At 37.7% G+C, this 15729-nt stretch overlaps 1 protein-coding gene across 8 annotated transcripts in view; it reads left to right on the top strand.

The window, feature by feature from the left end:
* The window catches only part of EDA (ectodysplasin A), a 423360-nt gene that overhangs the window by 60517 nt on the left and 347114 nt on the right, over positions 1-15729 (top strand). The window lies entirely within an intron of this gene.

A 15729-nucleotide genomic window follows, 5' to 3' on the forward strand; every position in this document is an offset into this window, starting at 1 on the left:
AATGTTCAGTGGTGAATCAGATCTCCTCTTCCAGCCTCTCTTCTCACTCCAGTTCACCCTTTATAAAGTGAGGCACTAATCATATCTTCAGTGGTTTCCCATTGCACTTAATTCAGTAGGTGGACTCCCCTGTCTTGGATTCAAGGCCCTCCATAATATGAGCCCAACCTATTTATTTGGCTTTATCCTTTGCTGTTTTCTTTTTTTTATTATTACACTTTAAGTTTTAGGGTACATGTGCACAATGTGCAGGTTAGTTACATATGTATACATGTGCCATGCTGGTGCGCTGCACCCACTAACTCGTCATCTAGCATTAGGTATATCTCCCAATGCTATCCCTCCCCCCTCCCCCCACCCCACAACTGGCCCCAGAGTGTGATGTTCCCCTTCCTGTGTCCATGTGTTCTCATTGTTCAATTCCCACCTATGAGTGAGAATATGCGGTGTTTGGTTTTTTGTTCTTGCGATAGTTTACTGAGAATGATGATTTCCAATTTCATCCATGTCCCTACAAAGGACATGAACTCATCCTTTTTTATGGCTGCATAGTATTCCATGGTGTATATGTGCCACATTTTCTTAATCCAGTCTATCATTGTTGGACATTTGGATTGGTTCCAAGTCTTTGCTATTGTGAATAATGCCGCAATAAACATACGTGTGCATGTGTCTTTATAGCAGCATGATTTATAGTCCTTTGGGTATATACCCAGTAATGGGATGGCTGGTTCAAATGGCATTTCTAGTTCTAGATCCCTGAGGAATCGCCACACTGACTTCCACAATGGTTGAACTAGTTTGCAGTCCCACCAACAGTGTAAAAGTGTTCCTATTTCTCCACATCCTCTCCAGCACCTGTTGTTTCCTGACTTTTTAATGATCGCCATTCTAACTGGTGTGAGATGGTATCTCGTTGTGGTTTTGATTTGCATTTCTCTGATGGCCAGTGATGGTGAGCATTTTTCATGTGTTTTTTGGCTGCATAAATGTCTTCTTTTGAGAAGTGTCTGTTCATGTCCTTTGCCCACTTTTTGATGGGGTTGTTTTTTTCTTGTAAATTTGTTTGAGTTCATTGTAGATTCTGGATGTTAGCCCTTTGTCAGATGAGTAGGTTGTGAAAATTTTCTCCCATTCTGTAGGTTGCCTGTTCACTCTGATGGTAGTTTCTTTTGCTGTGCAGCTCTTTAGTTTAATTAGATCCCATTTGTCAATTTTGGCTTTTGTTGCCATTGCTTTTGGTGTTTTAGACATGAAGTCCTTGCCCATGCCTATGTCCTGAATGGTAAAGCCTAGGTTTTCTTCTAGGGTTTTTATGGTTTTAGGTCTAACATTTAAGTCTTTAATCCATCTTGAATTGATTTTTGTATAAGGTGTAAGGAAGGGACCCAGTTTCAGCTTTCTACATATGGCTAGCCAGTTTTCCCAGCACCATTTATTAAATAGGGAATCCTTTCCCCATTGCTTGTTTTTGTCAGGTTTGTCAAAGATCAGATAGTTGTAGATATGCGACGTTATTCCTGAGGGCTCTGTTCTGTTCCATTGATCTATATCTCTGTTTTGGTACCAGTACCATGCTGTTTTGGTTACTGTAGCCTTGTAGTATAGTTTGAAGTCAGGTAGTGTGATGCCTCCAGCTTTGTTCTTTTGGCTTAGGATTGACTTGGTGATGCGGGCTCTTTTTTGGTTCCATATGAACTTTAAAGTAGTTTTTTCCAATACTGTGAAGAAAGTCATTGGTAGCTTGATGGGGATGACATTGAATCTGTAAATTACCTTGGACAGTATGGCCATTTTCACGATATTGATTCTTCCTACCCATAAGCATGTAATGTTCTTCCATTTGTTTGTATCCTCTTTTATTTCCTTGAGCAGTGGTTTGTAGTTCTCCTTGAAGAGGTCCTTCACAACCCTTGTAAGTTGGATTCCTAGGTATTTTATTCTCTTTGTAGCAATTGTGAATGGGAGTTCACTCACGATTTGGCTCTCTGTTTGTCTGTTGTTGGTGTATAAGAATGCTTGTGATTTTTGTACATTGATTTTGTATCCTGAGACTTTGCTGAAGTTGCTTATCAGCTTAAGGAGATTTTGGGCTGAGACAATGGGGTTTTCTACATATACAATCATGTCGTCTGCAAACAGGGACAATTTGACTTCCTCTTTTCCTAATTGAATACCCTTTATTTCCTTTTCCTGCCTAATTGCCCTAGGCCAGAACTTCCAACACTATGTTGAATAGGAGTGGTGAGAGGGCATCCCTGTCTTGTGCCAGTTTTCAAAGGGAATGCTTCCAGTTTTTGCCCATTCAGTATGATATTGGCTGTGGGTTTGTCATAGATAGCTCTTATTATTTTGAAATACGTCCCATCAATACCTAATTTATTGAGAGTTTTTAGCATGAAGGGTTGTTGAATTTTGTCAAAGGCGTTTTCTGCATCTATTGAAATAATCATGTGGTTTTTGTCTTTGGTTCTGTTTATATGCTGGATTACGTTTATTGATTTGCGTATATTGAACCGGCCTTGCATCCCAGGGATGAAGCCCACTTGATCATGGTGGATAAGCTTTTTGATGTGCTGCTGGATTCGGTTTGCCAGTATTTTATTGAGGATTTTTGCATCGATGTTCATCAAGGATATTGGTCTAAAATTCTCTTTTTTGGTTGTGTCTCTGCCCGGCTTTTGTATCAGGATGATGCTGGCCTCATAAAATGAGTTAGGGAGGATTCCCTCTTTTTCTATTGATTGGAATAGTTTCAGAAGGAATGGTACGAGTTCCTCCTCGTACCTCTGGTAGAATTCGGCTGTGAATCCATCTGGTCCTGGACTCTTGGGTTGGTAAGCTATTGATTATTGCCACAATTTCAGATCCTGTTATTGGTCTATTCAGAGATTCAACATCTTCCTTGTTTAGTCTTGGGAGGGTGTATGTGTAGAGGAATTTATCCATTTCTTCTAGATTTTCTAGTGTATTTGTGTAGAGGTGTTTGTCGTATTCTCTGATGGTAGTTTGTATTTCTGTGGGATCGGTGGTGATATCCTCTTTATCATTTTTTATTGCGTCTATTTGATTCTTCTCTCTTTTTTTCTTTATTAGTCTTGCTAGCGGTTTATCAATTTTGTTGATCTTTTCAAAAACCCAGCTCCTGGATTCTTTAATTTTTTGAAGGGTTTTTTGTGTCTCTATTTCCTTCAGTTCTGCTCTGATTTTAGTTATTTCTTGCCTTCTGCTAGCTTTTGAATGTGTTTGCTCTTGCTTTTCTAGTTCTTTTAATTGTGATGTTAGGGTGTCAATTTTGGATCTTTCCTGCTTTCTCTTGTGGGCATTTAGTGCTATAAATTTCCCTCTACACACTGCTTTGAATGCGTCCCAGAGATTCTGGTATGTTGTGTCTTTGTTCTCATTGGTTTCAAAGATCATCTTTATTTCTGCCTTCATTTCGTTGTGTACCCAGTAGTCATTCAGGAGCAGGTTGTTCAGTTTCCATGTAGTTGAGCGGTTTTGAGTGAGTTTCTGAATCCTGAGTTCTAGTTTGATTGCACTGTGGTCTGAGAGATAGTTTGTTATAATTTCTGTTCTTTTACATTTGCTGAGGAGAGCTTTACTTCCAAGTATGTGGTCAATTTTGTAATAGGTGTGGTGTGGTGCTGAAAAGAATGTATATTCTGTTGATTTGGGGTGGAGAGTTCTGTAGATGTCTATTAAGTCTGCTTGGTGCAGAGCTGAGTTCAATTCCTGGGTATCCTTGTTGACTTTCTGTCTTGTTGATCTGTCTAATGTTGACAGTGGGGTGTTAAAGTCTCCCATTATTAATGTGTGGGAGTCTAAGTCTCTTTGTAGGTCACTCAGGACTTGCTTTGTGAATCTGGGTGCTCCTGTATTGGGTGCATATATATTTAGGATAGTTAGCTCTTCTTGTTGAATTGATCCCTTGACCATTATGTAATGGCCTTCTTTGTCTCTTTTGATCTTTGTTGGTTTAAAGTCTGTTTTATCAGAGACTAGGATTGCAACCCCTGCCTTTTTTTGTTTTCCATTTGCTTGGTAGATCTTCCTCCATCCTTTTATTTTGAGCCTATGTGTGTCTCTGCACGTGAGATGGGTTTCCTGAATACAGCAAACTGATGGGTCTTGACTCTTTATCCAATTTGCCAGTCTGTGTCTTTTAATTGGAGCATTTAGTCCATTTACATTTAAAGTTAATACTGTTATGTGTGAATTTGATCCTGTCATTATGATGTTAGCTGGTTATTTTGCTTGTTAGTTGATGCAGTTTCTTCCTAGTCTCGATGGTCTTTACAATTTGGCATGATTTTGCAGCGGCTGGTACCGGTTGTTCCTTTCCATGTTTAGCGCTTCCTTCAGGAGCTCTTTTAGGGCAGGCCTGGTGGTGACAAAATCTCTCAGCATTTGCTTGTGTGTAAAGTATTTTATTTCTCCTTCACTTATGAAGCTTAGTTTGGCTGGATATGAAATTCTGGGTTGAAGATTCTTTTCTTTAAGAATGTTGAATATTGGCCCCCACTCTCTTCTGGCTTGTAGAGTTTCTGCGGAGAGATCTGCTGTTAGTCTGATGGGCTTCCCTTTGAGGGTAACCCGACCTTTCTCTCTGGTTGCCCTTAACATTTTTTCCTTCATTTCAACTTTGGTGAATCTGACAATTATGTGTCTTGGAGTTGCTCTTCTCGAGGAGTATCTTTGTGGCGTTCTCTGTATTTCCTGAATCTGAACGTTGGCCTGCTTTGCTAGATTGGGGAAGTTCTCCTGGATAATATCCTGCAGAGTGTTTTCCAACTTGGGTCCATTCTCCCCGTCACTTTCAGGTACACCAATCAGATGTAGATTTGGTCTTTTCACATAGTCCCATATTTCTTGGAGGCTTTGCTCGTTTCTTTTTATTCTTTTTTCTCTAAACTTCCCTTCTCGCTTAATTTCATTCATTTCATCTTCCATCATTGATACCCTTTCTTCCAGTTGATCGCATCGGCTCCTGAGGCTTCTGCATTCTTCACGTAGTTCTCGAGCCTTGGTTTTCAGCTCCATCAGCTCCTTTAAGCACTTCTCTGTATTGGTTATTCTAGTTATACATTCTTCTAAATTTTTTTCAAAGTTTTCAACTTCTTTGCCTTTGTTTTGAATGTCCTCCTGTAGCTCGGAGTAATTTGATCGTCTGAAGCCTTCTTCTCTCAGCTCGTCAAAGTCATTCTCCGTCCGGCTTTGTTCCGTTGCTGGTGAGGAACTGTGTTCCTTTGGAGGAGGAGAGGCGCTGTGCTTTTTAGAGTTTCCAGTTTTTCTGCTCTGTTTTTTCCCCATCTTTGTGGTTTTATCTACTTTTGGTCTTTGATGATCGTGATGTACAGATGGGTTTTTGGTGTGGATGTCCTTTCTGTTTGTTAGTTTTCCTTCTAACAGACAGGACCCTCAGCTGCAGGTCTGTTGGAGTACCTGGCCGTGTGAGGTGTCAGTCTGCCCCTGCTGGGGGTGCCTCCCAGTTAGGCTGCTCAGGGGTCAGGGGTCAGGGACCCGCTTGTGGAGGCAGTCTGCCTGTTCTCAGATCTCCAGCTGCGTGCTGGGAGAACCACTGCTCTCTTCAAAGCTGTCAGACAGGGGCATTTAAGTCTGCAGAGGTTACTGCTGTCTTTTTGTTTGTCTGTGCCCTGCCCCCAGAGGTGGAGCCTACAGAGGCAGGCAGGCCTCCTTGAGCTGTGGTGGGCTCCACCCAGTTGGAGCTTCCAGTCTGCTTTGTTCACCTAAGCAAGCCTGGGCAATGGCGGGCGCCCCTCCCCCAGCCTCGCTGCCACCTTGCAGTTTGATCTCAGACTGCTGTGCTATCAATCAGCGAGACTCCGTGGACGTAGGACACTCCAAGCCAGGTGTGGGATATAATCTCCTCGTGCGCCGTTTTTTAAGCCCCTCGGAAATGCGCAGTATTCGGGTGGGAGTGACCCGATTTTCCAGGTGCCGTCTGTCACTCCTTTCTTTGACTAGGAAAGGGAACTCCCTGACCCCTTGGGCTTCCCGAGTGAGGCAATGCCTCGCCCTGCTTCGGCTCGCACACGGTTCACGCACCCACTGACCTATGCCCACTGTCTGGCACTCCCTAGTGAGATGAACCCGGTATGTCAGATGGAAACGCAGAAATCACCCATCTTCTGCCTCACTCTCCCTGGGAGCTGTAGACCGGAGCTGTTCCTATTTGGCCATCTTGGCTCCTCCCCCCTGCTGTTCTCTTATATCTTCCAAATAAAGTGACTTGCTGCTCCTTGAGTTTAGTGTTTATCAACATGCAATACGTTATAGATGATGCTTATTTGGAATCACATAATGGTTAAGAATATAAACCTCTGTAGCTGGATACCCCAGGTTTGAATCATAATTTCATTTCTCATTGTGCCTTTGGACAGTTTGACCACTATATCTTAGTTTTCTATCTCTAAAATAGGGATAATATTAATACCAGTCTACTTCATAGAGGTGTTTTGAGGATTAAAGGGGTTTATATTTAAAACACAAAAACAGTGCCTGACCAACATGTTAAGTACTCTAATGTCTTGGCTGTCATTGTTGTTATTATCGTTACTATTCTTATTGTCTCTTTCTCTCCCCACTGTAATATCAGGTCTGTGAGGGCAGGGATTTTTATCTGCTTTGTTTACTGTTCTATCCCTATTGCCTACAACAGTGCCTGGCATATAATAATAATAAATGCTCAGTAAATATTTGTGAAATGAACAATTGCAGTTTCCTTAGCCCAAGATGACTACTACTGCTGTCTCTTCCCCCTACTCTCTTCTCTCAAGAACCTGTCCAAACTACAAGGCTTATTATGAATGCCATGTATTCCATGGAATACTTCATGATTTTCTGATCTTTCTCCCCAAGCTAAGTTTAATCTCTCATTTCTTTGAATTCCCATAATAACTTACTTATGGTTTTCTTACATCTATTACATTTATTTGCCTTTCATCTTAGTCATTTTTATCTAATCTCGCTTACTAGATATTAAGTTCTTAAACGGCAGACTGTGTCTTACTCATTTTATATCCCTTGTGATGCTAGTATAATGCCTTGAACATGGTAGATGCTCAATAGACATTTGCTGATTGAACTGAATCTGTTTTACTATTTATATACTTAGTTGTATACAAATTTTCAGATTTCTAAGTCATACTTCCAAGGTATTAAATCTCTGTGCAATTTATTTCTTAGGTATCCTAAGTGTTCAAGCTTAGAAAGACTATGCTTTTTTATCTGCAGTTGCAGAAAAAATAGATTTGTCTTAAATCTTGTTTTAACTACCTAAGGACCTTATACCAGATTATGAAATTGTCCTGCATATATGATCCTAAAGGGGAAGGTTTATCAAATATAGCAATATACAGCTGGAATTCAATGATCTAGTACATCACCTAAGAACTCAGATGAAAAAAGGCTTTGTGCAGATAAAGTGTGTGTCACAAGATCCATGCACTTAAGCTCATGCATGTTACATAGTGTAAGATTCTGAGATACTCGCTTATAATTTATTTACTCATCATTATGCTTTAATCATGATTATCATATTTCCTCGCCAACAGCTGTGGAGAGGCCATTTAGAAATGTTAACAAGGCTCATCGAATAGTAGGAGGGAGAGACAGCTGACTCTAAGGAAGGAGACAGAAAAACCGAAAAACAAACCAGGAACTCATAGCAGTGTGGGTCTAATAGCCCTATATGACTTAAATAAGTCTTGAGGGCATCAACATGTTATAATATAGCTCAGTAATTGATGTTCATAATAATGACCCAAATTCATCAAAAAAACAATTAAATTGTGATCATCTACTATGTTCTATTTGTGAAGATAAGCAATGAGTATTGAGTGTTTAGATTTCCATCCAAAAGATTAAATTTAAAATGGTGTTGTGTATAAAGTAATAAACCCTGAACTAGCAGGACAACTCGACTAACTCCTTCCTGAGTTACAATCAAGATTTTCCTTCATTCAATATATACCTTTCTGTTCAAGCCTCTCTAACTAGAATTGAAATGCAATGGTAAGGCAACATGAGGCAGTAAATCTATGAAAATGAATTGTTCATTCACACTACATTTATAAAACAGGAAATACGATTATAAAACAGATGTTGACTGATTGAAATGCTGTATGCTCAATCATGTTAGTGTTTATTTGATAAGGAATGCCATTTGTTTAGCTTTGCTTATTTATTCAGTGACTGTGGCCTGGAATTTTATTAGATGCTGTATAGCTGTATATCTCTGCCCACCAGAATGCTGAGAGAATCTTAGCTTGAATGAAACTGGATAAGAAGTTGGAGCTGTTTAGCTTTGGTAGTGAAGATGAGAAGACTTTAGTTTTGAAGGTTTTCCATTTTAAATGTCTTTGTTTTGTTTTATTTCATTTATATATGGGTGCCAGAACATAGAAGTGACTAATAGTCTGGAAGTATTCATTACTTGTTTAACTTTATTCTGAAAACTTTCATCTTCCTAAAAGTCTTTCAATGGCTACCCAGGGAGAGATCGAGAGCCAAGAAAATTTCCTGAAATGGAATCATTTATAACTGATATGTTTCTGAATAATGGAGAAAACTTAAATTTAATTTTAAAAGTACTGTAATACTAAACAGCTCTTATATTTGAAATAAATTATTCAACTAATTTTTTGTTCTCCCTTGGAGCCAGTTAGCAAATATCTTTTGTGTTGCAGTGAGATTACAGCAAATGATTTCATGGGAACATTTATTTAGATTTTGTATTTTATTTTATTAGCTGATAATATCTGGGCCTTTATGATATAGAAACTAGTACAATAAATATTTGAATGAATAGATTTAGGAACCAGATAATTTGGAAGGATAATTTCAAAACTTGAGTGAACTATGACATTTAAAACCAGCATCTTGGATCATCATGTAACATATTGTGTAATATACATTATAGTGAAATAGATTTTAAAATTTAATACCTTAAGCAAAATATTTTAGGAAGAATTTTTCTTTCTTTTAAAGAACAAGATAAATAGGTTTCTAGTCCCCCACATCCAAATATTTTTGTGTCCATTTTACCCTCTTGATAAAGGCAGAAAAGGGTTTTTATTTGTTCCTAATGCAGATTAAGAGTTGTTAACCTCTACAAACTACACAGCCAAACTAAAGTCAGTTCAGAAGGATGTGATATGTTATATAAATGTAGTATGTTATGCAGCATTACAAGTTCCTTATAATCTCAACAAATAGCATTTAGAATTTACTAATTGATTTAAAAATAAAAACCAATGCATGTTAACATAAATAACATAAATAGCATTTTACAAACAATAATTTCTACTTCATCAAGAACATTCTTAAGTGAAATGGCATGTCTTTCTTTTCTTTTCTTTTCTTTTTTGTTTTGAGACAGAGTCTTGCCCTTGTTGCCCAGGCTGGAGTGCAGAGGCACGAACTCGGCTCACTGCAACCTCCGCCTCCCAGGTTCAAGCGATTCTCCTACCTCAGCCTCCCGAGTAGCTGGGATTACAGGCATCCGCCACCATGCTTGGCTAATTTTTATATTTTTAATTGAGACAGGGTTTCACCATGTTGGCCAAATCCTGAGCTCAGGTAATCCGCCCACCTTGGCCTCCCAAAGTGTTGGGATTATAGGCATGAGCCACCGCGCCCAGCCTGAAATGGCATTTCTTTCTCTGAAAATGCATGATGGTAAAGAATACAATGGCCACTAATATAGGTTGGTGTCCCTGCCTTAATCCATGCAAGGCACCAACAGTTTTTGCACCACTATTTTTTAAGATAACAGCTTTATTAAGATATAGTTTAGATACCATATACTTCACCCATTTCAAGTGCTAATTCATTGGTTTTTAGTACATTCACAGAGTTGTGCAACTATTATCATAATCAATTTTAGAGACACAAAAGGAAACCCTGTACCTATAAGTAGTCACTACCCATTTTTCCTGAACCCTCTCCTCTTCCAGCCCCTAGGAATCATATATCTACTTTCTGTCTCTATAGATTTGACCATTCTGGACATTTCATTTAAGTGGAATCATATAATGTATAATCTTTTATGACTGGCTTTTTCACTTAGCATAATATTTTCAGGATTCATCCATATGAATCCTGTATTTCATTCTTTTTATGGTTGAATGATATTCTATTATATAGTTATATTACATTTATCTATTCATCAATGGATGGACATTAGGTTGTTTCCATTTTTTGCCTGTTGTGAATAATGCTGCTCTCAATATTTGTGTACATGTTTTTGTGTAAACATTTGTTTTCAATTCTCTTGAGTATATACCTACAAGTGGAATTGCTGGGTCATATGGTAACTCTCTGTTGAACTTTTTGAGGAACTTCCAGACTGTTTTCCAAAGTGGCTGCACCATATTACATTTCCACAAGCAACATATGAGGGTTCCAATTACTCTTCATCCTTGTCTACACTTGTTATTGTCTATTTTTTATTATATTCTTCCTAGTGAATTTGAAGTGATATTTCAGTTGTGGTTTTGATTTGTATTTTCCTGAAGACTAATGATTTTTTCATGTGCTCATTGGCTACTTATACGTATCCTTTGGAGAAATGTATATTCAGATCCTTTGCCCATTTTTCAATTGAGTAGTTTTTTTTTTTTTTTAGTTGTAAGTGTTCTTTATATATTCTGGATATGAGTCTCTTATCAGATATTTAACTTGCAAATATTGTCTTTCATTCTATGAGTTGTTTCTTCACTCTTATTTGTGTGAAGGAAAAGAAAGGGAGTATTGCCATCTTAACAATATTAAGCCCTCCAGTCTATGAACATGAGATGTCTTTTCATTTACTTAGATCTTCTTTACTTTCTTTCAACAGTGTTTTGTAGTTTTCAGCATAAGTTCTACCCATCTTTTGTTAAGTTTATTCTTAAACTTTTATGCTGCAAAGTTTAATGTCCAATTTATCTAATTTTCCTTTTGTGGCTTCTCCTTTAGGTATCATTTTAAAGAAAGTATTGCCTAACCCAAGGTCACAAGGATATACATTAATGTTTTCTTCTAAGAGTTTTATAGTTTTAGCCTTTACATTTAGGTCTGTGATCCATTTTTTATTTTATTTTATTTTTATTTTGGCAAGCCTGTACAACCTGCACTGAGGGATGCATTGATGCAGTCAATATCTGAAGATGAACTATTAAAAAGTAAGTGTAAAACAGTGTCTTAGGTTAGGGTCCCTGAGAAATACACTCTAAGATGGAGTTAGAATATAAGCAGTTTGTTGGGGAATGCACTCCGATCAACTCCTGTGGGGAAGTGAAGGAAAGCATTGAGCAGTAGAAGGAGTTGAGCTGTTAGTACAAAGTCTTCACAGGAGCTCTGGGGCTTGGATGGCAAAATGAGAATACTTTCACGTTGAAGGGGGCCTTTGTACCCTACCCTCTTCACAGACTTATCAAGGGATTTTCACTGCCCTGGGAAAAAGAGGTTCTTTCTGGACAAAGGTAATTTTCTTGAGGGATTTGGTTGAGACTCAGCACCTCATTCCTGAAGCAAGGAACAGGACAACATACACCTCACAGTGGCAGTGTTAATTCTCAATGGAGGAACTGTGTTGGGATACTATGGGGGAAAGAAAAGACAATTAGTATGTGGATATGCCTCTATGTCAGTGAAAACTTTCATAGAAGAGGTGATACTTGGACTGCCTTGCAATATGGAGGTGTATTTATCAGGTAGTATAGAGAAATAGTATTCCACTGATATATGTAAGCAAAGCCTGGTGCTTTTTATTTATTTTTTTTGAGACAGAGTTTCCCTTGATCGCCCAGGCTGGAGTGCAATGGCATGTTCTTGACTCACTACAACCTCCACCTCCCGGGCTCAAGCAATTCTTGTGCCTCAGCCTCCCAAGTAGCTGAGATTACAGGCATGCACCACCATGCCCAGCTAATTTTTGTATTTTTAGTAGAGATGGGGTTTTGCTATGTTGGCCAGGCTGGTCTCAAACTCCTGGCCTCAAGTGATCTGCCCATCTTGGCCTCCTGAAGTGCTGGGATTACAGGTTTGAGCCACTGCACCTGACCCAAAGAAACATATGTCACTCAGAGTGGCTTAGAGTGTAGGATCCAGGAGGAGGGATTGAAGAGGAGGATAATGAGGTGGTGACAAAGGATGAAACTGCAGAAGTAGCAAGGTCTAGGCTATGGAGAGGTAAATGGCATGCCCAGAAGTTTGTATTTTATTTTAACAGCAAGGCAGGCCTTTAAGCAAAGGAAGATCTTGTATGATACGTGCTTTATTTAATTTTTATACGTGGTGTGAGGAGTAGATCCAACTTCATTCTTTTACTTGTGGATATCCAGTTGTCCCAGCACCATTTGTTGAAGACTGTTTTTCCCCTATTGAATTCTCTCGGCACTCTTGTCAAAAATCAATTGATTGTAAACGTAAGCGTTTATTTCTAGACTCTCAATTCTACTCCATTAATCTATATGTCTGTCCTTATGCCAGCAGTACTACATTGTCTTAATTACTTTGTAGCTTTGTTGTAAGTTTTGAAATCAGGACGTATGAGTCGTATAACTGTTCTTCTTTTTTTTTATTTATTATTATTATTATACTTTAAGTTTTAGGGTACATGTGCACAATGTGCAGGTTAGTTACATATGTATACATGTGCCATGCTTTTTTTTTTTTGAGACGGAGTCTTGCTCTGTCGCCCAGGCTAGAGTGCAGTGGCGCAATCTTGGCTCACTGCAAACTCCGCTTCCTGGGTTCAAGCGAGTCTCCTGTCTCAGCCTCCCGAGTAGCTGGGTTCAAGCGAGTCTCCTGTCTCAGCCTCCCGAGTAGCTGGGATTACAGGCACCCACCACCGTGCCTGGCTAATTTTTGTATTTTTTAGTAGAGACAGGGTTTCACCATCTTAGCCAGGCTGGTCTCGAACTCCTGACCTCATGATCCACCCACCTCGGCCTCCCAAAGTGCTGGGATTACAGGTGTGAGCCACCGCGCCCGGCCCAACTTTGTTCTTCTTTATCAAGATTGGTTTTGGCTATTCTGTGCCGCTGAATTTCCATATGAATTTTAAGATCAGCCTGTATTTTGATAAGGTTGTGTTTAATCTGTAGATCAATTTAGGGAGTATTGCCATCTTAACAATATTAAGTCCTCTAGTCTATAATGTGGGATGTCTTTTCATTTACTTAGATCTTCGTTACTTTCTTTCAACAATATTTTGTAGTTTTCAGTATAAGTTCTACACATCTTTTGTCAAATTTATTCCTAATGTTTTATTTTATTTTGATGCTATTATAAATGGGATTGTTTCTTAAATTTTATTTTTCAATAGTTCATTGCAAAAATAGAATTAGAGCTAATTTTTAATATTGACCTTGTATACTGCAAACTTGCTAAACTTGTTTATTAGCTTTAGTAGGGTCTTTGTGTGTGTGTGTGGATTCCTTAGACTTTGCTCTATATAATATTATGTTATCTGCAAACAGAGAGAGTTTTCTGGATGCCTTTCATTTCTTTTTATTGCCTAAGTTCATAACTATAACCTCTAGTAACAATGCGTTGAATAGAAGTGGTAAGAGCAGACATCCTTGTCCTGTTAGGGGGAAAATATTCAGTTATCACTTAGTATAATGTTAGCTCTGGGTCTTTCCTAGGTACCCCTTAATGTGGTTGAGGAAGTTTCCTTCTATTGCTAATTTTTTGAGTATTTTTATCATGAGAGAGGGTATTGAATTTTGTCAACGTTTTTCCATGTGTATTGAGATATTCATGAATTTTTTCCTTTATTCTATTCATATGATATATTAATTGATTTTCTGATATTAATCCAACCTTGCATTCCTGGGATAAATTTCATTTGGTCATGTTATACAATCCTTTTTATATATTACTGGATTCAGTTTGCTAGTATTTTATTGAAGATTTTTATGACTATATTCATAAGATATATTGGTCTATAGTTTTCTTGTGATATCTTTTTCTGGTTTTGGTAACAAGGTAATACTGATGTCATAGAATGAGTTGAGAAGTATTCCCTCCTCTTATATTTCTTGGAAGAGTTTGAGAAGGATGGGTATTAATTGTTCTTTAAATGTTTACTAGAATTCATCAGGGAAGCCATGTAAGCCTAGGCTTTTCTTTGTGAGTAATTTTTTTATTACAAATTCAATCACTTGTTTTAGGTCTATACATCTTTTATATTTCTTCCTGAATCAATGTTGGTAGTTTTTGTTTTTCTAGGTACTTTCCCATTTCATCTAAGTTATATAATTTGTATACATACAGTTGTTGATCATATTCCCTTATAGTCCTTGATGTATGTTTATGGTTAATAGTAATGTCCTCTCTTTCATTCTGAATTTTAGTAAATCGAGTCTTTATTTTTGGCTTCATCAATCTAACTAAAGGTTTGTCAATTTTGTGGATATTTTCAAAGAAAAAAATCGCCTTTTGAAAAGAGAAGTAGCAAATTAATCATTTGAAGGCAGCTAGTAACCACTATATAATGACCTCACTGACAGTGTGTTCCTGGCCACATGTTTCTTAACCTCCTGGAACCTCAGTTGCTTCATCTATAAAATGGGGCGATATGGCTTGCCTCATAGATTTGCCTTTAAAATTAGATGAATTAACGTGTAAAATCTCTAGCACAATACCTATTTATGACAGATATTGTACCTTTCAGTAAATGCTTGTATCTTTTTCTTCCACATTATTGTGCTGACCCTGGTTTTACTGCATTATTCTTCAGTAGCCAGCTTTAATTTAATAAAGTAAACCTTAAAAATGACTTCTCTTTTAAAGTCTGAAAAAATATTTTTGTGCTTTTTCTTCTACCATATAATCAAGATGATATTTATTTTCACTAAAATTTAGGCATATAACCAATTTCAGAATGTAAGCAGGTGAAACATTGGTTTAATATTAATCATAAATGAAAGTAAAAGCACAGCTGGGATTGTATATAATAAATTATCATGCTCTGTATTATTTTCATCTTTTTCTCATCTCAGTAGTAATTTTATTTCCTATTAAATATCCATAGAGATAATTTGTTTCTTCTTAAAGTAGAGCACCATCTCTCAGATAACTTTAACATTTCTGAGACAATTCTGACCTTTTAATGAACTTTATGATAGTTCAGCAGTGTTATAAATAATGAACCTGAAACTCTAAAAAGTTACCAAAACTTCTTTCAAATTGTGGTATATAATTTATTCAAGTAAAGAAAGGTAACTCTAATCAATTTTTATATTTTATTAAAAGTTTCTACGTCCTATTAGTAGGATTTATATTCTCTCTTTCCTAAGTATCTTTTGTCCTAACTTCCTCCATAGGTATGCACCTTTATTGCTTGCCAGTAACTTGAGGAAATAAGAACATTTCTTCCAGACTTTGAGTCAATGAAAATTGACTCCCATATGGAAATAGGAATTGAATGCTACTGTCTCATGTATGAACTCGGTATTTGGCCTAGATCTTTTCCCTTTCTCTGAAATGAGGAAGATGTTATGGTACCTCACTTCACATGTGCCTGACCAGCTGTTGTAACATGTATCTTCATGAACCCTATGTACTGGTTTCACTCTATGGATTGCCTGTACAGTGGGAATAATTGAATTGACAAATAGGGTTATGATTAGGTTATGATAGAAACTCTCTAGCCCAGCCTGACACAAGTAGATCACAAAACATCTTTATTCTAACACTGATGGTAGGAAAGCA

Source organism: Homo sapiens, chromosome X (genome assembly GCF_000001405.40).
Source record: "Homo sapiens chromosome X, GRCh38.p14 Primary Assembly".
NCBI lineage: Eukaryota > Metazoa > Chordata > Mammalia > Primates > Hominidae > Homo > Homo sapiens.